General features: G+C 40.7%; 1 protein-coding gene across 7 annotated transcripts in view; it reads right to left on the bottom strand.

Annotated features, from left to right (window-relative positions):
• Positions 1-26749, bottom strand: part of GRIN2A (glutamate ionotropic receptor NMDA type subunit 2A) — a 429505-nt gene that overhangs the window by 126736 nt on the left and 276020 nt on the right. For all 7 annotated transcript variants that reach the window (NM_001134408.2, XM_047433994.1, XM_017023173.2 and 4 more), the window contains one exon: positions 10847-10961. In NM_001134408.2, the coding sequence (NP_001127880.1) occupies positions 10847-10961 (115 nt within the window). The remainder of the gene's footprint in view (positions 1-10846; positions 10962-26749) is intronic.

The raw sequence follows: 26749 nt of genomic DNA on the forward strand, positions 1-26749 counted from the left end.
GCTCATATCTGGAGGATCTTGGAAGAATCCACTTCCAAGCTCACTCAGATTGTTGGGCAAGCTCACCTCCTTGGGGTTATATGTCTGAGGTCAGCTAGGGACTGACAGTGCCTAGAGGCCCCTGCATTCCTTATCATGGAGCCCCCTCGATCCTCAAATGTAGAAGTCAGACTAAGCATTCTCACACTCCAAATTTCTTTCTGCAACTATTAGGCTTGTGTGAAACTAATTGCAGTTTTCGCTGTTTTTTTTAAATGGCAAAACCCACGATTACTTTTGCCCCAACCTAATAGCTGCACAAAACTTTCTACTTTTAAAGGGGTCATGTGATTGGGTGAGGCTCGCCCCAATAATCTCCTTGTTGAGTAATTCAAAGTCAACTGAGAAGTCCTTTCTGCCATGTGGCCTAATAAAACCAAGGAGTGACAGCTCATCATGTCACATACTCCCAGGGGAGAGGCTTAGAAAAGGCCAAGTGTCACTGGAGACCATTCTAAGAATTCTGCATACCACACAGCTATGTTCCAATCACATTGAACTCTTCTCCAGATGGGCCTTGGGCACTCTTGCCTCTGAACCTGACTTTTTCCCACTGCATGGAATGGCCTCCTCACACATATTCAGAAATCCAAATCTTGCTTATTCTCGTGAGACCTTGTTCAAACGAGAAATCCTCCATACAAACGCCCTTGATTCTTCTGCCTCCCTATAACATCTCTCTTCTCTAAACACCTGGAGTTGCCAAAACATCTTTATGGCACCTCACATGCTCTCCTGCAGTTACGAGCATCTCTTAGTGCCCCGTTAGACTCTAAGTCTCTTGAAAACCAGATGTCTTATCTGCCTTGCAACCCTCAGATATGACTTGCACATAGTGAGTGCTCAGGAAATTTTCTTTGACAAATAAGTGTGTGAATAAATATGGATTACATAATACCCTAAGTTCTATTATCTCTGTTGATGGGACAAATTTTTAACAAAAAAATCATTTAATAACAATATCTATTGAGAAAAATCTAGGTAACAGGCACTGAACTACATCTATAAACAGCGTTTTATTTGCCTTGTTATTCTCTCATTTGCCAGAAGTTATTCAAGATGCAACAAGATTCCAATTTCCTTCTTTCCTTTTCCTCTGTAGTTTCTCCTAAGCATTGCTACTGAGCAGTATATTCCAAAGGAAGAAAGAAGCACAAAAGCTAAGAAGCAAGAATCTTGATAACAGGATGACCTAAATAAAACCATTTCAGGGTTACACAGAGTAAGTCTATGCCCTAAAGCAGTAGCTTTACATCTTTAATGGGCATGAGAATCACTAGGGAGGCTTATAAAACATGCAGATTCAGAATCAGAAATGCTGATTCCATAGACTTGAGGCAGGGCTAAGGCCTTTACATCTTTCCCAAGGTGATTCTAATCTAGGTAGCCCAAGGAACTACACGTATAAAAAGCCCATACTAAAAGATGCTCCTCATTTGGGGAAGTTAATGGGGAAAAGAGTCTTTCCATTCATTCTCCAAATCCTTATTGAGCCTCTGCTATTGAATACCAGAGATATAATGGTAAAGGAGAGACTGAAAACACACCATGAGCTCTCAGTGCTAGCCGTGGCCAGAATTCATGGCTTTACCAATGGGCTGCTATTGTCTTTCTAAGCAAAGAGAGTTGTAATATGTTTCTCCCTGCCGGTAGAATGTGTCACAATGTTCTTCAATTTTAGCAATCCACATAATCGTTCTATCAATTGTCATTTACTGGTGTCCTCACAATTGCAATTTTTCTCCATGATTTCTTTTACACAATCTTCACTGGGATGTGTGCGGAGAAGCCAAGAACAATGTTTGCATAAATACTTCCATCCTCTGGCTGGATGAACTTTTTTGAAGACTACTGATATCTCATACACACACACAACACACACACACACACACAAACACACACAGAAGCAAACTGACACTAACAACCTGCATGTTTTCTTGAGATCTTGAAACTCACTGGGCCCTGCTAGGCTAAATGTGGTAGTAGTGATGGGAAAGAGATGGCAAGGAGAGGGAGCTAAAATACAATAATTTAGATAGGAGGGAGCTATAGCATTCTATAATTACAAATCACATCATGTAATAATTGCACCCCACGCATCACTATGCCTCACTAGACCTGATAGCACAATGATACACCACAGTCAGAACCACAGACTCAAGAGAGCAATCATAGCTTTTGTAAGATCTCCTTTATCATATCTGTACTAGGAATCCTATAACTGGAATCTACTTTATTTCACACAAGACATAACATATGGGGTGCATCCCCTCCCTTAATGAGACAAATTGGAAGATGAAACTACTGTAGACCAAAAAATAGAAGGGGCCGGGTGCGGTGCCTCATGCCTGTAATTCCAGCACTCTGGGAGGTCAAGATGGGAGGACTGTTTGAGGTTAGGAGATTGAGACCAGCCTGGGCAGCATATCGAGAACTTGTGTCTGCAAAAGAAATAAAAATTAGCCAGGCAAGGTGGTGTGCACTTGTGTCCCCAGCTACTTGGGAGGTTGAGGCAGGAAGACCCCTTAAGCCCAGGAATTTGAGGCTGTAGTGGGATATGATTGTGCCTGCACTCCAGCCTGGTAACAGAGTGAGACCATGTCTCTAAAAAAAAGTTAAAAATTACAAGGTCTGGGAGATGCAATAAATGCCTATACCCTGAGTTCTAATTAGCTGGTTTCAGGTAGAATCAATTGCATCCAGTGAGAGGAAAGGAAGCAGACACCTTTCTAAGGGTAGGAGGAGGAACTCCCTAAATTTCTCCTCTAGAATACCTCCTTCCCGCTGCCAGTTGTTCCACATGATGTAGTGGTGGTGAACACAGCCTTCGGGGGCAGGCGGACCTCCACTTACATCCTTCTTCCATCACACACCAGCTGGGAGATCTTAAGCTGGTCACTAACCAGAGAGAAACTCTGGTTCTCTGAACCAGAACTTCCATCTCTGAAGCAGGGAGAAGAATACCTACTTTAGAAGTGCTATTAAACAAATACCTACTCAGATGACTAAATGAGATAATGAATGTAAAATTGTCATCATAGTTATTGGTACAGAGTAGCTCTTAATAAATGGCAGCTGAAGTCGTCGATACCAACAGATCATAGAGGGGTCCATTTGTGCACTAGGCCCAAACCCTTGTGGTGAAGCTGAAAAAACACAGATGAAAGGAACAGACCTTCCCCTCTTGGGGATTCTAGTCTAAGCGAAGATGAATAGGCAAGCAAACAATGCCAAAGCAAGCTGTTAACACTCTTACGAATTAGTATACAGGTCTGCAGGAATGAAGTGGAAAAGGGCAGACCCACTTTGAGCTACCCAGATATAGAATCAATGGAAAGGGTGTCCTTAGCAAAGAGGACAAATGTTTGAAGGGGCAGGAACATCAGGAGCAGGTGACAGCTGAATACTAGGGCTTGGGGGACACTCCGGGGATAAGAAGAAAGCTTTCTGTGTTGGGGTACGGGCGAATAAACATATCCGTGGGAGGAAGATGATGAGTTTGACTTTGGACAAGGTGATATTGGGTGTCTGTGGGTCAGCCACGTGTGGTGCTGTAGGCAAGTCTGGAGGCCGTGAGACAGATCTGGGCTGGAGGGAGAGATCTGGTTGTATTTCTGTGCAAAATGCACCTGAAACCAAATGTAAACAGAGTGGTGAAAACAAAAAGAAAAACAGACCCATCAGAGCGAGAATGGGACATTTCCTTCAGGAAGACACAAGGAAGGGTCTCCCTAATGTCTTCTGGAACATCGGTATCATCTTTAATTGGATCTTCTCTGGGGAATAAAAGGCTTGTTTTACTTTAATATTTATGTGTTTTGTCCTATTTACATTTAAAGTCAAAACTTCAAAAATCTTTATTTATCTCTCTCTTTCTCAATATATATCCCTTTTAAAGTTTGTCTAGGATACACTAATTAGTTCAGTTTAGCTTTTCCACAGTGTACAAATATATCAAAACGTCATGTGCACTAAAAATATCTACAATTTTTATTTGTTAACTTAAACAAATTTTTAAAAGCTAGCCTGTATGTGTATATAGGTGTATGCATAAACACACATATATTTTCATTTTAAAGCTATTGTAAGGCCAGGCGCAGTGGCTCATGCCTGTAATCCCAGCACATTGGGAAGCTGAAGCCGGTGGATCACCTGAGGTCAGGGGTTCAAGACCAGCCTGGCCAACATGGTGAAACTTCATCTCTACTAAAAACACAAAAGTTAGCCAGGAGTGGCTGCACGTGTCTGTAATGCCAGCTATTCGGGAGGCTGAGACAGGAGAATTGCTTGAACCTGGGAGGCAGAGGTTGCAGTGAGCCCAGATCGTGCCACTGTACTCCAGCCTGGGTGACAGTGTGAGATTCTGTCTTGAAATAAATAAATAAATAATAAAATAAACAAAGCTACTATAACCCTAAAATGGTAACCAGAATTATTCTCAAAGCATTTTTTTTCAGGTAGAATAAGTAGTTCAGCCTAGAGCAATCCAATTTATTACTCAAGGCTCAACTCCAATACCTCTAGCTTTACAAAGAATTTCTCTAAGTGAGAAATTCTCACTTAGAGAATTTCTTTTTTTTTTTTTTTTTGAGATGGAGTCTCACTCTGTGGCCCAGGCTGGAGTGCAGTGGTGTGATCTGGGTTCACTGCAAGCTCCGCCTCCTGGGTTCACGCCATTCTCCTGCCTCAGCCTTCAGAGTAGCTGGGACTACAGGCACCTAATTTTTTTTTTGTATTTTTAGTAGAGACGGGGTTTCATCATGTTAGCCAGGATGGTCTCCATCTCCTGACCTCGTGATCCACCCACCTCGGCCTCCCAAAGTGCTGGGATTACAGGTGTGAGCCACCGTGCCCGGCTAGAGAATTTCTTGACTGGCCCAAGTTCACCCTTCTCTCCGCCTATGTAGCACTTATAGCCATTTGTTCCAGGGTTGGCTTAATTCTCTATTATGAGCTACTTGAGAAGACACATAGTTTCCTACACATCCTTGTAGCATCCCTGGTACCTAATGAACTGCTGGCCACAGAGCTGGCATACACGTGGCATTGGTTGTACTAGCCTAGACTGCTAATTGGCAGGAAGACCCCTTACACCTAGGAATTTGAGGCTGTAGGGTCTTCTGAGGCTGAGGTTGAGGCATCTAGGGTTTTGTTTTTGAGCATCTCTGGGAAGCCTTGGACTCATCAAACTCTAAGGCAGACCAAAATCACTGAAGAACAAGGGAGAGAGAAAAGGCATGGAAGTCCCGATTTGTGAGAGAAAGTCTGCTCCATTCTGAGTTCTGTGTCTGCAGTATACAGGCAGGCCTGGTGTTTGGCGTCTGTATAATCCACACCAGCCACCTACAAAGGCCTGGAAAAAAGCAAGTGCCCCTCTAAGGGCTTGTCGTGTTTTCCCAGACACCCTCATTACATGCTGCTGCTTTCAGTGACGCCACTGGCTGACCTCGGAGATGAAAAGAAATCGCCTCCGAGTCCCAGAATAACAGCTCCCTCCTCAGCAGTCTTTCCCCTCTGCTGACCTGCTGTACCAGCGTGTAGTGCTGGGGGGGCAGCTTTAAGGGTAACACGACTGGTATTTACCTGCTCCACTGGCTTTCTCTTTCTTAGAGACAGAAGCACACGGAGTTATTTCTGAAGCACTAGATCCCCTGAGTGCCAAGAGGATAGAGCAACTACAGGCAGTATTTGTGCATTCTAAGCTCAACTCAGCAGCAATTCCCAAAGCTGCCTTTTATGGGAAATTGCTATGTTTCAACAGGAATTTGAAGAAAGGCCCACAAAATATTAAAAGGCATCTTCTGTATCTGGAAATGGAGTGTATCAAGGGCAGCTGTCACCTGCACTGCAGTGGCCTCCTTGTGTACCAGCTCCCTGGAAGATGAGTCAGATTCTAAGGTAGCACAGAAAATTCACAGGTGTGAGTCAAGCCTGCTCCAGGACTGGTTAAAACCAACCAAAGGGAATGATTTGGTGGCTCCAAAAGTGAATCGCAGATTGTGTAACATCAAAAGGTTGAAAACCCCAAAATGCAACAACATAAGGCAGAAAGGCTCCAACTCTCTACCTCCTATGGATGATTAGAAAAAAAACATGAATTGCATTTTGGCTTTACATGTGTAAGAGGAAAAAAAATCAGGATTTGAAAGATGGATAAGAGAAAGTAATGATATAAGAAAATATTATAGGCAACAACAACAACAAAAGCATATTCAAAGTCCCAAATGCATGAAGGAACCCAGTATATACATTCATGGAGTTGCAAATCACTTGCATGGTGGGCTACAGGGTGTATAAGAGGGAAGAAAGGAGGTTAAAACCAAGGACAGTTAACTAGATGCTAACACTTTCCTTAAGCATGACAGAAGCCCATAGAATCCCAGCCGACTCCATCTCCATATACACACTAAGATCTAAGTTTCTTGAGTACAGAAAATATTTTTTCTCTTGTTTATGATGGACTCCAAGCATCAAGGATAGGGCCTGGTACACAGTAGGCACTTAATAACTATTTGTTGAATAAAAAAATGAATAGACGAACCATGAAGTCAGGGCTCCGGTGGATCAACTGAAGGATCAATACAAGAGGTGATCAATAAGCAATGGATATTGTTATTATAATTGGTATTCATGTCAGGGGGTTAAATATGAAAGCTCAGTGAAAACTGTTAGTTAATTGTGCTGGGTATCCCGATCTGAAGGATTTAAGGTTTTGTTGTTTTGTTTTGAGACAAAACCTTGCTCTGTCACCCAGGTTGAAGTGCAGTGGTGCGATCTCAGCTCACTGCAACCCTCGCCTCCCAGGTTCAAGTGATTCTCCTGCCTCAGCCTCCTGAGTAGCTGGGATTACAGGCACCACCACCATGCCGGGCTAATTTTTTGTATTTCAGTAGAGACGAGATTTCATCATGTTGCCCAGGTTGGTCTTGAACTCCTGAGCTCAGGCAATCTGACTGCCTTGGCCTCCCAAAGTGCTAGGATTACAGGCATGAGCCACCAAGCCCGGCCCGGATTTAGGTTTTTTTTTAAACTAAGCACAATGACATACAACAAAATGAATGGATCTTGTGTCATAATTTGATGCCTTTTGACAAATGTTCAAGATAGGAAATAACTGCCATCACTCCAGAAAATTCCCTGTGCCCCTGTCCTGTCAACTGCACTCACCCACAGAAGCAACCACTATTCTGATATCTAACCCCATAGGGAACGTTTGCCTCCCTTGAACTTTATGTAAATGGAATCACACAATATAATCTTTCATGTCTTCACGTAATATAATCTTTCGTGTCTTTCTTTGATTCCATATAATGTTTTTCAATTCATCCATGTTGTTGTACATATTACTAGGCCATTCTGTTTTATTAATATACCATAATTTGTTCATTCATTTCCTTGTTGATGGACATTGAATTATTTCTGATGTTTTGCTATAATGAATAAAGTTGCAATGAACATTCTTGTACAAGTATTACTTTTTGGATATATGTTTATCTTTCTTTGGGATAAATAACTAGGAGTAAAATTGCTGGATAAGATTTGTGTGTGTATGTGTACGTTTATTAAAAAACAAACAAAAAAAACACACACACAGTTTTTGGCCAGGCGCGTGGCTCACGCCTGTGATCTCAGCACTTTGGGAGGCTGAGGCGGGTGGATCACTTGAGGTCAAGAGTCTGAGACCAGCCTGGCCAACATGGTGCAACTATCTCTACCAAAAATATAAAAAATTAGCCTCTGTGGTGGCACATGCCTGTAATCCCAGCTACTCAGGGGGGCTGAGGTGGAGTCTCGTTCTCTCGCCCAGGCTGGAGTGCAGTAGCTCAATCTTGGCTCACCGGAACCTCCACCTCCCGGATTCAAGTGATTCTTGTGCCTCAGCCTCCCAAGCAGCTGGGACTACAGGTGCACACCACCATGCCCAGCTAATTTTTGTATTTTTAGTAGAGACGGGGTTTCACCATATTGGTCAGGCTGGTCTCGAACTCCTGACCTCAGGTGGTCCACCTGCCTTGGCCTCCCAAAGTGTTGGAATTACAAGTGTTAGAAAATAAAAAAGAGGGCTGGGCACAGTGGCTAACAGTGTCTTTAGATGAGCAAAAGTTTTTAATTTTGATGAAGTACAGTTTATTTACTGCTTAATGGTTTTTCATATTTGGTTTAAGAAATCTGAGGCTCACAGATCACAAAAATATTCTCCTACATTTTCTTCTAGATAGTTTTATCTTTCACATTTAAGCCTGTAATCTATTTCAGGTAATTATGTGTGCATGCATAATGTGAGCAATGGGTCAAGGTTTTTTTTTTCCATGTAGATTGCCTGTTTATCCAATACCATTTATTAAAAAGATTTTCCTTTTCCCTGTTGTCATAATCATTGATCAAAAATCATTTGAATGTGCCTATGTGGATCTATTTTCATTATTTCATCATTAAATAAGATATAAGCTTATTTAATATATATATTTTATGCACCGTAGTCTAACTTAGAATAAGACAGAAAAACTTAAAAATTGTCAAATAAAGCATCTCATGATATGCGTATGTGCATATAATATATATAAATCGATATATATATTATAGGTTTTTCATAGATACCCTTTATCAGATTGAGGAATTTACCATCTTTATCATAACTGGATATTGAATTTTGTCAAATGCTTTTTCCGCATCTATTGAAATGACCATATTTCCCCCTTTACTCTGTTAATGTGGTAAATTAATTTAATTTTTAAATGTTAAACTAATCTTGCATTCCTCAGATAGCCCCCACTTATCCATGATGTATTATCCTTTTTAAAATATATTATTACATTATGATTAGTAACATATTGAAAAACTTTGTATAGAGTGCTGTTATTTCTTTTAAATGTTTGTTATAGATAGACGAAGCCATCTAGGCCAGGAGTTTCTCTTTTGTCTTTTTAAAATGGGAAAGTTTTTAGGTATATTTTCAGTTTTTCAGCAAATATGAGCTATTCAGATCGTCAATACCTACATCTCAGTTGTAGAAAATTGTGTTTCTTCAGAATTTGCCCATTTTATCTATATCGTTGAATTTGTTGTCATAAATTTTTCATAATATTCTTTTTATCTTTTAATGCCTGTAGGATCTGTAGTGTCTGTAAGTGATAGTCCCTCTTGCATTTTTAATATTGGCTTATTTGTGTTTTCTTTCTTTTGTGTGATCATTATTGCTAGCGACTGTGAATTTTATTAGTCATTTCAAAGAACTAGCTTTTGGCTTTGTTGATTTTTTTCTATGGCTTGTGTTCCACCTTGTTGATTTTTACTTGTGTATTTATGATTTTTTTCTTCTACTTCATTTGTTCACTTTGCTCTTTTCTAACTTCTAAATTTATAAGCTTAAATCATTGACACTGAATTCACACTTTCCTTTTTTATTATAAGCAGTTAAAGCTATGAATTTCTTAGTGTGCCTTCAATCTTATTCCTCAAATTTTGATATTTTGTGTTTTCATTATCATTCTGACTAAAGTATTTTCTAATGTCTTTCTGATTTCTTCTTTGACCTATAGGTTTAGAAGTGTGTTGCCATTTCCAAATATTTGGAGATTTTCTAGATATATTTTTGTTACTAATTTTTATTTTAATGCTGTTATGATCAAAGAATGCACCCTCCATTATTTCAATTCTTCTAAACACATTGAGACTTTTGTTTTATGCTCCAGAATGTAGTCTACTTTGGTGGATTTCCCATGTGCACTCGAAAGGCTGTGCATTTTATAGTTGCTGGGTGTAGGATGCAAAACTTTCCTAAGCTTCCTCCTCACTGTTCTTTTCTAGGAATCTGTCATTGTCTCCCCAGAGTCAATGCTTCTGTTTGTATAGTATTTCCCCCTGATTTCAGTCAATTACATTATGTCTCCCACAGCACATCCTATATCTTCCTTCCCTCTAGGGTCACTCAGGCCTCCATTTGATGTACTAAGTGAAGATAAATTTCAAGATGCTAAAGTAGTTCAGAGGTCATGCATTGCTTGTCAAAAAACATAACAAAAAAATAAGATAACAACGTAACAACAAAGGCTTTCTGATCCCTTTTATTCTACTCTTTATACGAAATTGTAGCGACTAACTTAAGCATTTAATTATGGAGGAGGAGGGAGGGCAACTGAACCAGATATTGTCATTGTATGTATGAGATCATCTGTAAATTCCCTGTGACATCTCTCCTCTCTGACCCAGGTCATGACATGTATGGTACATAAGATGATGATTTTTTTCTTTGCAAACGATTTTTTGTATTTTCAATAGCTAATATACATGTAGTTGAAAATATGCTTTATAAGAAAAATAACCTCCCTCTCTAACTCATGATTTACAGAAGTGATACATTTAAGTTTTTAAAATTAGTTTATTTAAAGCAAAAGACTGAGTACATGAAAATACAGAGGGTTCGTTCATATGGCAATGACTATGGTACACAATTAGGAAGTTTAGGCAAACTTCTATGATCATTGCTACATAGTCAACACTTATTAGTGTAATGCTGCAACCCAGACTTCACTGTCTTTAAATTATCCTTAGTTCAGACCTTTCCTACTGGGATTTGAGAACAGACATACAGCGCACCACACAATTACCACAGTTCACCCAGAGAAAGCATTCCAATTGCACCTTACAGATTTAGTCTGCCTTGTTGCAAGAAAGACGTGCTCTTGGCTGTGAGATGGGATCTAGAGCAGCTCAACAGGAAATGCGTGGGAGAAAGAAGCACTGTGAGCCCCTTTATTGCCCATGCTTTCTTCCCTCCCCTGCATTCAGCACACAGAAGGATGCTCACCTTTTCCCATTCCCGGTCTTTGTTCAGCACAATCACCACCAGCCTGGGGTGCACCTGGTAGCCTTCCTCAGTGAAGGATAAGTCTTTGCCATCCCATGTAACATTGACCATAAATCTAGAAAGGGGAAGAGAGAAAGACAAATTTTTAGGAAAGAATTAGAGCAATCGAACAAATAAGTGGATGCCACCATTAATGGAATACTGAAAAATTATAAACTTACAATGCTATATTCATCACAAGAAGCCTCTCTGCAGAAGTATTAATAACCATGCAACCATTGCTAGTTGACCATGCTTTAGTAATTGACTGTAATTAACACGTGGAATGTAAGCTTTTTGTCCTGCCAGATTCATAGACCTATATTCAAATGATCTTCTTACAGGAAGATCTGAAAACACATTCTATTATACTCTAACAAACTTCCCTGAAGGAAGCTGCTTGCTCATAAACCACATGGCATTCAATGTTGAAAAAATGACATTCCATTATTCATTATTTATTCAACTAATATATATGAAGCATTTGCTATATGTCAGGACTCAGCTAGTTGGTTCAGGGTAAATAAGAAAATGAACATAATTCCCACCCTCAAGAAGTTTAGAGTCTAAGGGGGAGGATAGTCATGAATTGATTAAACACAGATTTATGACAAATGATACAAGGGACGGGAGAGTATGCTATAAGAAAGTGAAATAGGGGTGAGGCAAGGCTGAGGAAGTGCAGCTTGACCTGAAGGCTCAATTGGCATTAACTAGGCAAGAAAAGACACAAACAGGCAAAAGAGGCAACATGTGCAAAGACTCTGTGGTGTGCATACCAGGAACTGAATGCAGACCAGAGAGGCTGAAGCAGAGAAAGACAGGAAAATGTGAGATCAGGTGAGGCTGAGAAGATGAATAGGAACAGAAAGTGCAGGATTTTAGAGACCATGTTAAATGTCTGTCTTAAAACCGTGGGAAGGTGCAGGCATGGTGGCTCACACCTGTAATCCCAGCACTTTGGGAGGCTGAGGTAGGGGAATCACCTGAAGTCAGGAGTTCGAGACCAGCCTGACCAACATGGAGAAACCCCGTCTCTACTAAAAATACAAAAAAATTAGCTGGGCATGGTGGTGCAAACCTGTATTCCCAGCTACTCAGAAGGCTGAGGCAGGAGAATTGCTTGAACCCGGGAAGCAGAAGTCACGGTGAGCCGAGATCGTGCCATTGCACTCCAGCCTGGGCAACAAGTGTGAAACCCTGTCTCAGAAAAACAAACAAACAAAAAAAACTATGGGAAGACATAGAAGCGAGGGTGACATCAAAGAGGTAATAGATCATGTCAATTGAAGGCTGTGTAGAGAATAGATTGGAGGGGAACCAGAGCGGGTACAGAGGGACTACTTATGCTATTCTTACAAACCAGGTCAAAGATAATGGTGGCTTTGACTCTGGTTGTGGCCAAAGAAGAAGAGAAGGAGGAAGAGAAAAAGCAACAGCAAACAAGACCGAGTGGAGAGATATTTAGGAGGTATTTAGTGAAAGATTAGATGAGGGGAAGGGAGAAAGAGGCATCAACGATGACTCCTAGAATCTACCTTATATAACATGTATAAACTTAATTTTTGGTCTAGGTGTTTTCATTGCAGGTAACATCTATCTGCCTTACAACATTTATACCCTCATCACTCCTCAAAGCCACCTTGGCCTGTACTCAGGCTGAACTCAGAGAGCCAAGGCAGACTTCATCTCCCAGATTTCGGGTGAGAGGTTCCCCAAGGGATCCGCTCTCCTTGCAGCTTGAGAAAAATGTGATGTCGTTAAAGACATCTGAGACAACATGGTGGTGGCCACTCAGCAGACACAAGATACATCCAATATGGTGGATTGAAGCATTCAAAGACTTCCCCAGAAAGATACTGTGTCACTTGCTTCATATTCCATTAACATCCAGAGATGCTAAAAAGTGAAAAAAAAAAAAAAAAAGAAGAAGAAGAAGAAGAGAACTAGGCTACAAGAAATTTTAAGAAGAGACACTGGCCTAATGGGTCACATGTACATCCCTGGACCAGCATGGTGCAGAAGCGACTGATGGGGGTGTTGTGTGGGGGAGAATCTGGTTTCCAAGGACAAAGTGAAGAAATTGGGGAAAAGGAAAAGAGCAAATATTGTGTATTTATTCAACAGACCATTCGGGTCATTGAAAATCATGTTTTTGAAGACAAATTAATGATGCAGAGAAAATGCTTACTATTTAATGTTAAAGAAGCAGAAAAGAGGATAAAAACAGGGCTTGTCTATGTCTAAAAGGGTTATGGGTATTTTTCATTTTTTTGTGTGTGTATCTTTGTATTCTTCAAGTTCTCTGCAATCAAATACTTTAACAAACAGAAAACTAAAACACTGCTATTCTAGAAGGAACAAAGGATAATCACTATTCTATCTGGTTTATTTGGGGTATCTCTTATCACTTCCTAGAAAGGTTTTTTGTTTTTTGTTTTTATTTTTGTTATTTTTTTTAAGACGGAGTCTCACTCTGTAGCCCAGGCTGTAGTGCATTGGCACAATCTTGGCTCACTGCAACCTCCGCCTCCCAGGTTCAAATGATTCTCCTGCCTCAGCCTTCCAAGTAGCTAGGGTTACAGGTGCCCACCACTATGCCCAGCTAATTTTTGTATTTTTAGTAGATACAGGGTTTTGCCATGTTGACCAGGCTGGTCCCGAACTCCTGACCTCAGGTGATCCGCCTGCCTCTGGCTCCCAAAGTGCTGGGATTACAGGCATGAGCCACCACACCTGCCGGAAGGATATTTTCTTGATTTAACAACTAATTACTCTATTTATTATAGAGACGACGGTCAAAGAAAGCATATTTACTGTATGCCTGGTATATAGGTCAGGGCTTATAGTAAGTCTTATAGATACAGAAATAAAAAACACAGTGTTTGTCTTCTTTCTTACCCACATTCTTATAATTCAATGGCATAGACACATAAACAATGACAGTACCTATAATGCCACTTATTCACTGATGGAGAGTAAATGTAAGAAGGTGAGACAACACAGACAAAAGGGTCCCTAACTCAACCTGGGGAATCTGGGGAGGGCTTCCCAGGGAATCTTAATGGGTGAAGGGGTTGAGGCAGGAGAAAGCATTCTGGGCAGAGGCATCATCTTAAGTAAAGAGTCAGCAAAGGTAGTAACACACGCTAGAGGAAGTAGGAAACGGCTTAGTAAGGCAGATGGTTATGTTATGTGCAGTGGGATGAGTCTGCAGAGGATCCCTGAAGCCAGATCATAATGGACACACTGAAGGGTTTGGATTTGTTCAGAAGGTCATGGTGAGCCAGGAAAGATTTTAAGTAGAGGAGTGATATACTCAGATTTGCAGCCAATAGGGGCAGAAGTGAAAATGCTTCTCTGCACTTGAGGGGACTTGAACATTTTTGTTCACGGCTTAAAAACCATTCATTATCTAGACAATTGAAACTTTTTTTTCTCTCTTCCTTCTCCCCTTTGATGTTTCCTGGCTGGAGTTTGATGAACTAAATGAACATGGTCCAGATACACACAGCTAGGTGTGCTCCACCTCACACCTCTTATTGAGACTCTAAAGAAGATATTTGCATGGACTGTTTAGTGGAGAACTGGAGTCAAATTCCTCATTATTAGCAGGACTTCAAAGTAACTAATTGAGCCTAAGTTAAGCTGTTTTTATTTTTTAAGCTGACATTTTGGTTCCATTTCCCAGGGTTATTTTTAGCCCCGTCACATTGTCTGGCATACTGTGGGGGCTCAGTTAATGTTTGGCAAGTATGTTGACAGATCATCACCAAAGGGAAATCCACCCATCCATACATTCATCCATCTATATATCTACCCTTCCAAACATCTGTCAATGCAGTCATTCATCTATCCATCAATCCATCAATACATTTACCTGTCCATTCATCCATCTATCAATACATTCATCAATCCATTAATCCATCCATCCATCCATCTATCCGTCAATACATTCATTAATACGTTCATCCATTCTTCCATCCATTAGGCATGTTTGAGCATCTCCTATGTATCACACCCTGTACCAGAACTATGCCATGAAAATGATACAAAAATGACCAAAAATACTTAATTTTTCAAGGTTGGGGAGAGGGACACACAAAATAACTATAACGAAGAACAATAAGTGTAAAAATAGAGATATGGACTAAGTTGTTGGAAAGCATAAGAGAAGCAGTGGCTAATTCTATGGTGATTCCATGACTGGAAAAAGGAAACAAAGTTAAAGGGATTTGGGTTGTGCTGAGAAGGAAGAGGAAGGAAAAGTTGAGCAGCTCTTGCTCATGCACATGGAGAAAATGCAAAGTCCAAGGCAGAAAACCCTGAAACATCATGATGTGTTCAATGAGCTGCCGTCAGTTCACAATAAGTTGGGGGCAAGTGGGAAAGTAACTTGGGAGAGGACGCTAGAGACAGACGCAGGAGTCAGATAAGCAAGTACTATATAGACTGAGTTTAGACTTCATCTTGTGTTTATTTGGAATGGAGGCTTGAAATGCAAGTTTGTAAGAGGCAGATGGGCAAACAGATGAGGCTTTGTAGTAACGCAAGCAAGGAATAGAGACGACGGTCAAAGAAAGCAACAGGTGGAATGAAGAGATTGGACAGATAGGCAGGCAACTGCAATGGAATTTCAGTACAAAAACTACCGACAAAGACCACCAATGGCCTTTACCTCAGCTAGCGAAAATAAGTTACCAGTCACTCTGTACCTGCTGCCCTAAGTTGATAATTAGGGTGGCCAACTCACTGAGGTGTTTCTTATTGAGTACAATGAGATCTTAAGCCAGGTTTCAATTATCCAACACTTTGGGGTGAATGTAGTTCAGGTTGAGTCTACCTAGCGCCCCAAATGTGGGAAAACTGAAAAATTTAGTAAATTATCAAGAAATTTGGAAATATCCAGTTTGTTATCTGTTTGGAAATGCTGGATCAGGGAACAAATGTTTTGGTTTCGATAAAGACACTTGCTCCTGGGGAGAGCCATTCACAAGGTTGCGTAACATGAACTGAATGTCACAGCAACTTTTTTTTTTTTTGGAAACAGGGTCTCACTCTGCCACCCAGGATGGAGTGCAGTGGTGTAATCTCAGCTCACTGCAACCTTCACCTCCCAGGTTCAAGCAATTATCCTGCTTCAGCCTCACTAGTAGCTGGGATTACAGGTACCTGCCACCACTCCCGGCTAATTCTTATATTTTTAGTAGAGACAGGGTTGCACCATGTTGGCCAGGCTGGTTTGAACTCCTGACATCAAATGATCCACCTGCCTTGGCCTCCCAAAGTGCTGGGATTACAGGCGTGAGCCACCATGCCCAGCCAAAACAGTGATTGTTTTAATCAAGAAGGTAGCATACGCAGTTGAGCACCTTTCTTTGGATTTACTTAAAATCTCCTTCTTTAATTTCCCATCTCCATGTTCTCCACTTGTTCCCTTTTCTTCCATTTGGTAGTAAAATCAGATGGAATTAGCAGAGTGATTACTGAGACGCAAACACTGTTCTTCAGATTATATGAAAATAACTATGCAGAAATCCTCATGCTTCAGATTTTTCTGTGTTCCTCTAAGATTCAATATTCTGGGTGAATGACTCCATATACTCAATGTTAATATTGTCTTTTTCTATTAAAAGTCTTCAGTCCCTTGGGAGGGGGGAAAAAAAAACCTCTAACAGAAATTTCTGCTGAACAGTAATTTCATTATGAAGTTGGCAGGGAGCAAGTACCTATTACCTTCAATTCCCCCACCCAATTTCTAGGAAGGACAATCCATATTTCCATGGGCTTTCTTCCCATTTAAACTTGCTCCAGAGCAGAGTTCTTTACCTAGGGAAATACCATTTTACACCACATTGATCAGTTCCCATTAACACCTGCTGGGCACTTGTATTAAACAGTAAAATCTTGTCATTGTTTTGCTTATCTCTACAAAATTGATCATAAAGCTTTAGTGGTCAGATAAAATGTCAGAAATTCTGACTGCTTCTAAGCCTCAAATTACAGCTTCAATATCTCCATCAGGAGCAATAAGTACACAGAAGCATGCTGGCAAATAGAGAAGGGGAAGACTCTAGTGATTTGCCAAGACGACTTCTGTGTTGTCATCCACTGGTGGTAAAGTGCTAAGTTGTTTTTTATTGCCAGTGACAGTCACAACACTAAATACATATATATTTACATATTTTATATATATAAAAAAATACATAAAATACGTACATATATATACACATTTCCTCTGGTATTTACAGTATTAAGTGTATGAAGCTGAAGTCCAGGTTAAATAAACATTCCTCTTCCCCTTGTGTTTTGTGCTCTATGAATGGTGATGCATGGTGATCAGAGATAACATTGAAAAATAGGTAGACAATATTTCCTATATTTCCTATATTATGATTGAATATAAACGGGGCCAGAATTGTCCAATTCTCACTAGGCCTGCTATCACGTTAGATAGCCAGCCACCAACCACGTGTAGCTATTGAGCATTTGAAATGTGGTTAGTCTGAATTGAAATGTGCCATCCATGTAAAAATACACACAGAATTTTGAAGACTTCGTATTTTTCAAAAGAGTAAAAGGTCTCATAAATAATTTTAGGTTGATTTCATGTTGGAGTAGTTTAGGCATGTTGGGTTAAATAAAATATATTATTAAAATTAATTTTATCTGCTTCTCTTCACTTTTTTAATGGGCTACCAGAAAATTTAAGTTACATGTGACTTGCATTATATTTCTAATGAACAGCTGTTCTAGACTCTCTTTGTGCTTTTGCTTTTGTTTTTAACTGGTAGACTGTAATCATGGAAGCAGGGACCTCATCTGCCTTGCTTAGTATTATATTTCTAGTGCTAAACAGGGTGTGCGCCACAGAGCTGGTGCTGAACATGTGCAGAATGAATAAAAGAATAACTTGCTGCTTCTATGTTGTTGAGGTTTCATGACATCGAGGAAAGAGAATAGGCTTTACAGTGAGACAGTACCTGGCACCTTGGGCAGCGTATTTAAAATCTACTGAGCCTCCATTTCCTTTTTTTTTTTTTTTTTTTTTGCAAAAATGGATTAAGTTAAACCATACAGACTAGCCATGACAGTTTCATATGGTTTAACCTAACTTCATAGTTCGCATAAAATGCCTAGCACAGTGCCTGGTATACAGCTATTAATAAATAGTAGTTAACATTGATGCAAATTTTCCATGCAGTTTTCACTCTTTTTCCACCCTGTCATATTTTCTAACACCCTACTACAAATGCAATGCTTTTTAAAGCCATGCTTCCCCTTGCCATTTAGTATACTCATTTCCAGAGTCCCTCTGTCCTTGTGTGAACAGCCAACCATAATGGGCTGCATAAGCTTCTTTAACTATGACTTAAAATATCTCATTCCTCCAGATTTCTATTTTATCTCTTTCGTCTTATAGTCATAAGTCTCCTTTAACTTCCAAAATCTAATTATTTGAGATGTTCTCTAGACATATTTATTATTCACTATTTCCCCCTTAGACTTTAATTCTCTTACTGTTTCACAAATGCCACCATAACCCATTTAGTGTTTCTCAATTTTCGGTTAATTTTCCATCTACTTTGCCATTTCTGAAGTTCCCAGGGACGTTTCCTGGATCACAGTGTCCCTTAAATGCCTCCTTGAACTGCTTGGGTGTCACAGTTTCTTCGTTTGTCATTTAATTTACATGTTTTTGAAAACACAGTCAGTTTTCTTTAACCTCTTTTCAATTCTCAAGATACTTTCATTTTCACAGAGTGTTTTTTTTTTGTTTTTTTTTTTTCTCTTACAAGCATTCTCCTGGTGTTTGCAAATCCCTTCAACTTTGATGTCTATCTTAGTGCTTTCTCATCTTCCATTAACTATTCCCTCATGGGCGCAAATGAATCCTCATCCCTCTTTAGTACAACTTCACTCTACTTTTGCCAGTTTTCAATTCCCAACTCATCCACCTCCTCCTTCTCTTCTTCCTCTGAATATCCTTGCGCTGTCTTTTGACGGCAGCACCTTCCTCTTTGCCCTGGTGCTCAATTTCATATACAGTACTCATTGGTGGTTTCCTGTTCCCCGTGAACAATTAAAAAGTCTTAACAGCAGAGCCAGAACTTAAACATCAAGGCAGAGAAGGCCAGGCGCGGTGGCTCGCACCTGTAATCCCAGCACTTTGGGATGCCAAGGCAGGTGGATCACCTGAAGTCAGGAGTTTGAGACCAGCCTGGCCAACATGGTGAAACTCCATCTCTACTAAAAATACCAAAAATTAGCCAAGCGTAGTGGCAGGCATCTATAATCCCAGCTACTCATGTGGCTGAGACAGGAGAACCACTTGAATCCAGGAGGTGGAGGTTGTGGTGAGTGGAGATCGCACCATTGCACTCTAGCCTGGGCAACAAGAGCAAAACTCCGTCTCAAAAAAAAAAAAAAAAAAAAAAAAAAGTCAAGACAGAAAAATAATAACTCCAACACAGAGATACTCTAAAATGGGCTCAGAAACCACAACATAAAGAAACAGAAAGAAGAAAAGGATTTTTATAAGGAGAAAAGTATTGTTTATTCTTTCAACACAAATTCTATTGTGGTCAATTAAAAAAATAATGTTAGTTGTCTTGGCTGAGCAATACTGAATTTTAAAGATTTTAGGACACAAAATAGAAATCTTCTTAAGGGCAGGGGTCTTTGTTCTGATCACTGCAACTCTAAAACACCTAGAAGAGGGTGTGTCCTGACTTTTAAGCCAGAGCTTAAAAGTAACTGTGGAATAAATGAAAAAATGAATGAGCAGGCATAGGTCTCTAGGATCCTGCACACTAAATATTTGATTCCAGTACAACAACTGCCAAGAGGCAATATTGCAAGAATTGGATAGCCTGAGTTAGAATTCAATTTTGTGGCTTTCAACCTCAGGTAAGTATCCTCAGTTCTCAGAGTATTTGTTTCCTTTTCTGTAAAAGTGAGGTCATAACAGCCATGTCACTGGGTAATTATAGGGATCACACTAAATGACGTCTAATGAGATACACAACGTGATAAAGGCCAGCAGAGTGCTTGGCACATTATGGGTGTCTGCTAAACTATGGTAGGGGTAGCAGTAGTTGTCATGGTTTTATATAATTGTCTTTCTTCCTCCTAAAATTTGGGGTCAAAAGCTTTCTTTTAAATGCTGGAGAATCATTTTGGCTACTAATTCCAGTCCCCGAAGGGAGGCAATGAGAGCTCGTCTAGGCCCTACCCCAAGGAGAGAGGAGGAGCTCATTTGATTGTTCAGAGCTCACAGCACCCCCTGGACTGGGCTTACTGGTAGATGAAGCTTCTATGGTGCAAAGCCTGTAATCCATGTGCCACCCTGGGCATCCAACTCTATTCAGGGAGCACACCTGAGTCAAGGGTGACTCCTTAAGGAGAGGACCCTATATGCTGTCTTTTGTAATACAACCGCTATGTCTAAAACTTGAGGTAGGTTAGGACAAAGCTTTTTTCTGTAAATATGACTCTCCTCCTCCCAACTCCACAGAGCATACCTGAAACTTTGACCCAACTGGCCAAAGATTTCAACTAGAAGCAGGGTGTATAGAGTAGGGTCTAAGATGCATGTCCTAATTCTACTTTATTGGGAGTTATTGGAATTCTGAATGACCATTAATAAAGTGGTTCTTCGAATCTCAGGCTGCTCTTGGAACCTGGGGTGAGGAATCTGGAAATGCTGGGTAGTATTTATAACACTGTTAAAATAGCACCAAATGCGTCACCATTAACCTCTCATGACTAAGGATCACCTAACCACTTTGAACCAGCTGGCACAAGAGCCAGTGGAACCAGCTCACATAATGAGCTTCTAATCCAAATGAGCAGAAAAAAATGTATGTAACGTGGCGTGCATTTCCAAGTTCACTCAATCACCTGTGCCTATGCTGCCAAATTATTCAAGATCTCCAAGTGGCAGATGTGCGTGCATGTTGCTCTTCCAACCAAAAACTATAGAATGAGATGATATGGATCAATTGACATTCAATTCAAGGTGCGATTTTTATTTCAGAATTTCTGGATATTCACATACTGGAATATAGAATTCATAAAAGCAGGGATTTTGCCTGGTTTTTCCTTCTGCTGCTTTTTCTCCCTTGAAGAACCTAGAATACTACCTGGTATAAAGTAGATGCTCAATGCAAATTTGTGGAATGAACAAAAGTCTCAACTCTCTGTCTTTTTGTTTTCTTTCGTTTTTCCTTTTGATGATGAGCCCTACTTTGTCTCTCTGTCCAGTGGGTGTCTACCTGCTTTCTGTGAATTACAACTAGACATCCAGTGAGGTAACTCAAAGGCAGAGAGGAAAGGTCGGGGGTGATATGCCAATGGGACTCTAACATTCCTAACTCCACTTACATCGTTAATATGTTGTTCTTTTTTATACGATATTATTTGGGGAAAATACATATTATATATATATTTTTGAGACACAGTCTTGTCTGTCACCCCAGCTGGAGTGCAATGGTGCGACCTCGGCTCACTGCAAACTCCACATCCCGGGTTCAAGTGATTCTCGTGCCTCAGCCTCCCGAGTAGCTGAGATTACAGGTGTGCAACACCACACCTGGCTAATTGTTTGTATTTTTAGTAGAGAAGGGGTTGGTCAGGCTGGTCTCAAACTCCTGACCTCAAATGCTCCATCTGCCTCGGCCTCCCAAAGTGCTGGGATTACAGGCATGAGCCACCACATCCCACGCCTGACCAGGGAAAATATCTTTATATTAATCAATTAAACAAATAAACTAGAAGACAATTAAGATATTTGCTCATCCATGCTGCTACAAAAGAACTCTGGTCTTCAAATCAGGAGACCTAGAATCTTGTCCTGTCTCCCTGAATATGTGAGTAAGAGCGATCACTTAAGGATAAGGGACTAAAATGTATTTAGCCTCTAATATATGTTGAATGGTGTGCCAGATACTTTCCATATGTTACCTGAATTCTCACCCAAAGAACTAAGTGCAGATTTTCTCATTTTACAGAGAGAAAACAGAGGTGGGTTTTATAATGGTGTGAAAAGCTATACGGGTCAAGAGACTTCTGGTTGTTCATCAATATCCTCTTTTCTTCTGCCTTAGTAACAGAAATTCTATTTTTAGAGGGGCACAGAACCTCCAATAATAAAGCTTACATTTCTAGCTTCCCTAGTAGCTAGGCATGACCCTATGACAATTTTCTGGATAATAGGAAGACAGAAGGTATGATATGCATAACTTATAGGAAGTACTGTAAAAGAAGGAGGTGAGCCCGTCTTTGTTCCTTCCTCCTTCCTTCTAGTTGCAATGCAGATATGATGGCTGGAGCAGTAGCAGCCATCTTGAATTATGATGTGGAAGCCACTGGCTGAGGGTGGCAGAGCCACAGGGTAGAAGGAGCCTGGGTCCCGGACACTGTGGAATACCACACCAGCCCTAGACAACCTTTGCACAAGAAAGAATTCAATGCCTATCTTCTTTAAGCTACTTTTATGTTTTAGAATTTCTGCCATTTAAAAAAATAATTTTAGCTGAGTTAAGCAGTCAACTGGTTATTTGAACCAAAATCTTTCAGATTTCAAAGGCTTTGAATTAAGGTGCACCAGCACTCATTTAACCTCCCTACACCTCAGTTGCCCTCTCTGAAAAATGGGGGGGTGGTACCACACACTTCTTTATTTTTCCAACTCTACAATATTTAATTTTCTCTCCTCATCTTCCCCTACTCCCATGAATACACAATGCATTTGGTCCTAACCCCATCTCTTAGTATATGCTGTTCCTCCCACCCAGAATGCCTTTCTGCCTCATCCTCTTCAGTCTAAACCCAGTATTTGTTTTTAACAAGGCTGATTTCAAGCTGTTTCTTCATTGTGGGGTTTCCTAATAATCTTTCCTTCTCTTGGTTCTGTTTTTTTTTTTTTTTTTTTGGCGGGGGGGTGGGGGGGTGGGTGGGGGTGACGGAGTCTCACTCTGTTGCCCAGGCTGGAGTGCAGTGGTACGATCTCGGCTCATTGCAACCCCCACCTCCTGGATTCAAGCGATTCACCTGCCTTAGCCTCTCTAGTAGCTGGGACTACAATCGCGTGCCACCATGCCCAGCTAATTTTTTTGTATTTTTAGTAGAGACGGGGTTTCACTGTGTTAGCCAGGATGGTCTCAATCTCCTGACCTCATGATCCGCCACCTCGGCCTCCCAAAGTGCTGGGATTACAGGCGTGAGTCACCGTGCCCGGCCTCTCTTGGTTTTCTTAATCCATTCCTCATGTGACAGCACTTAGCAATACATTGCCTCCTGCTATTCTCTGAGGATTCCACTTTCACACATTTGGTCCCACCAGGAGCAAAGGTCAGATCTTCCCTTCTGTCATTTATGTTTATCCAGCAGACTTGCCATTGAGCACAGCATGTTCACCATTTATTGACTTGATTCAAAAAGGGATACCTTAATCTCCACCCGAGGACCACCTTTTCCCTACTTGACACCAAACACAAGGAAGGCTGAGCAAGGACAATAAGCCAGGCCACAAATCTTTGTCCATATTATTTTTCTGCAGCTGTAATTCCTGTTCATTCCCTGCATCAGGCTTATTGGCCACCCCTCATGATCATCTCAAATAATACCTCTTCCACAAAGTATTACTTGACTCCTTCAGGTTAGACGCATCCTCTTCCAACTCTCAACCCCTGTTCTTCATGTGGCACACACCACTTAGAGGGCACCTTCTTTATTTATGTTGGTCCCAACCACTCAGGACTAATTTTAAAAAGACACCTCTTTCTGAAGACCCTTTACTACCATTTGCCAAAACAACTGTCAAAATAAAACACAAATGTTTGATGAAGCTGATATGAAGGGTGCTCCTGGACTTGTGTAATTCATAGCCTGAACAATGTTATCACCTCTCCCAGACTGTCAACTCCCTGAGGATAAGAATTCATAACTCAGTACCCTGAACTCTGGGAGCACTGTGAGTTGCAGAGAGAGTGGATTTAGAGACAGGCAAACTGAAGTTCAGTTTTAAATCCACAACTGTTGGTGTTTATACCCTTAAGGAAATCAAGTTATTCCAGACTCAGCTCACTTCTGTGTCAATGGGGGTAAGGCCGCTGTTTTCACCAGTTCAGGCTGCTATACCAAACTATCACAGTGTGGGTGGCTTAACTAACAAACATTTGCATCTCACAGTTCTGGAAGCTGGAAAGTTCAAGATCAAGGCACCAGCAGATTTGGTGTCTGGTGAAAGCCCTCTTGCCTGTTTACAGAAGGCTGTCTTCCTAAAGTGTACTCACATGGTGGAGAGAGATCTACTTCATGTCTCCTCCTCTTTTTCTTTTTCTTTTTCTTTTCTTTTCTTTTGAGACAGAGTCTTGCTCTGTCACCCAGCCTGGAGTGCAGCAGCGTGATCTCAGCTTACTGCAACCTCCACCTCCCGGGTTCAAGCAATTCTCATGTCTCTGTCTCCCCAGTAGCTGGGATTACAGGTGTGCACCACCAAGCCCAGCTAATTTTTTGCATTATTAATGAAGACAGGGTTTTTCTATGTGGGCCAGGCTGCTCTCAGTCTCCTGGCCTCAAGTGATCTGTCCACCTCAGCCTCCCAAAGTGCTGGGATTACAAGGGTGAGCCACCGTGCCTGGCTCTTCCTCTTTTTATAAGGGCATTAGTTCCATTGCAAGGGCCCCACCCTCATGACATCATCTAACCCTAATTACCTCCCAAAGCCCCACCTCCAGATACCATCCCTCTGGGGATTAGGGTTTCAACATAAACTTTCAGTCCATAACAACCACACAGCACTGTTGCGAAGTTTCATGGTGGCATCATGAGAGTTAGAAGGGGTCCTATGATAAGCACATTGTTTTTGATTGACATCCAGTAGTAGTGTGACCAACCATCCCAGTTGTCCCAGCACTGAGGTGTTTCCTTTGGCATGAAAATTTCAATGCTAAAACCAAAACCATAAATTATGGACCACAAATTAAGAGTTTGATCCACTAAGAAATATACCAAAAGGACAGCTATAGAAAGGCTTCAAATCTACTTCTTAGTAAACACATCACTTCAATAAACATCCATTGAACATCTACTTTATGCTAGCAAAGTATAGGAATTAAAGAGGTAAGTAAAAATTGTGTGGTCCTTTCTCTGCAATCATTTAGAGTTTAAGGGAAAGGCAGATCCTATGCAAATAATTACAATAAATGGCAATATGTCTGCAGCTAATGTTCCTGTTGCTGTAAGAACATTAGGAGGGGGACCTGACCCATCAGAATACTGGTTAATCTTCCATTACTCCATTTCTACTTGCTTTTTTCAGGGCAAACACCAAGTTGATTTATCAGAAAGAATACAAATTTCTCATGCTTTTCAGAACTGGGCAGATAATATCAATGAGTAAAACGAGCCAGGTGCAAGATGATAACAGTGGTGAAAATCTTAGCTAAAGGCATTCAAATTCATTTAAATGTAAATGAAATAAAACCGATCTACTGGCTGCTCATTTGGACTGTCTGTTCTAAACGAACTGAAAAATATTCATGTTCCTTCCTCTCGCAAAAACCTAGGCTTCCTTCTATACCAGTACAGTTCACGGGACTGCATCCCTTCTGGGGCAGAGCGATGTGCCTATGGATATACAATAAGCCCGGATCTTCGAAAAAGTCCTCCCTTATGTATATCAGAACACTTATTTGTTTCCCTGGCCATAAAAATATATACAAGGGGGAGGGGTGCACCTGTCCCATGGCGGATCAATTAGATTCTGTCTCCTAGGAATTTGAAAGTTGATAGGTAAGACACACAGACCAGGAATTGTTGGCTCTAAACCAATGTAATAGTGACTCTCCTTCGTCGAGGAATGTTGCCTCACCTTATGACCTTTCCAAGATTAGTTGCTCAACTTATACTTTGATTTTTAAAAGGTCTAGTAAAGCCCCAAACAATATTTTCTATTGTTTCTCCTTCATTACCTTTTAATTAAATTAAGCTAATCAGGCTTTATTTCTGTTGCTTGCTACCAAAATGTCTTTCACTTTGTTCCTACCTGCACTATAACATCTGTACTGCTATTCAGATTCCTACATTTCATCCTCCATACTCATATCAAGCCCACTTGCCAGATGAAATGTTCCCACACCTCAGTTCTGATCATGTGCCACCCTTCTCAAAACCCTGAAATGGATCCCCACTGTCCAAAAATAAAATCCATGCTCCTTGGCAACTTTAATTTTTCCAACCTTCCATCCTAAAACTGTTCTTAACAGTATCCTGCATTGGAGCAAACCCAAACCACTCATGGTATCCCAGTAAAGTCTTGTGATTTTCCACTTCTTAGCTTTTGTTCCTACACCTCCCTCCACTGGAAATGCAGTCATAGCTGTTGTTTCTGGTTACTTTCATTTCCTGATAATAGATCTTCCCCCACGAACCCTGGAGGGCATCTCTGGCCACAGAGATTGGTTCAGGGATCGGTACGTGACTCAATCTCATTCAAACACATTTCTTCTCTGGGAATTTTTTATTGCAACTAGAAGGGATCACTGTCTTTCTGGATTAAAAAAGTATGTGAATCAATACTTAGTTTAGATGAGTTCATTCCCTATCTCCTGGAGGCAAACAACTCACCTTAACAGGGAGAAATATGGAAAGGAGAGGAAGACCTGAAGACACCGTTTGAGCCTGGATCTAGACACGCAAGATAACAAGTCCATCCTTTCTAGTTGAATGGACCAATAAATCATTTTGCACTTTTTTGTGCCTAAGTTAACAAGAATTTACTTTCTCTCAGTGAAAATCACAAATTTTTGTTTTTGTTTTGTTTTGTTTTCAAGATAGGGTCTTGCTGTGTTGCCCAGG

The sequence above is a fragment of the Homo sapiens genome, chromosome 16 (assembly GCF_000001405.40).
Source record: "Homo sapiens chromosome 16, GRCh38.p14 Primary Assembly".
In the NCBI taxonomy this organism is placed as follows: Eukaryota; Metazoa; Chordata; class Mammalia; order Primates; family Hominidae; genus Homo; species Homo sapiens.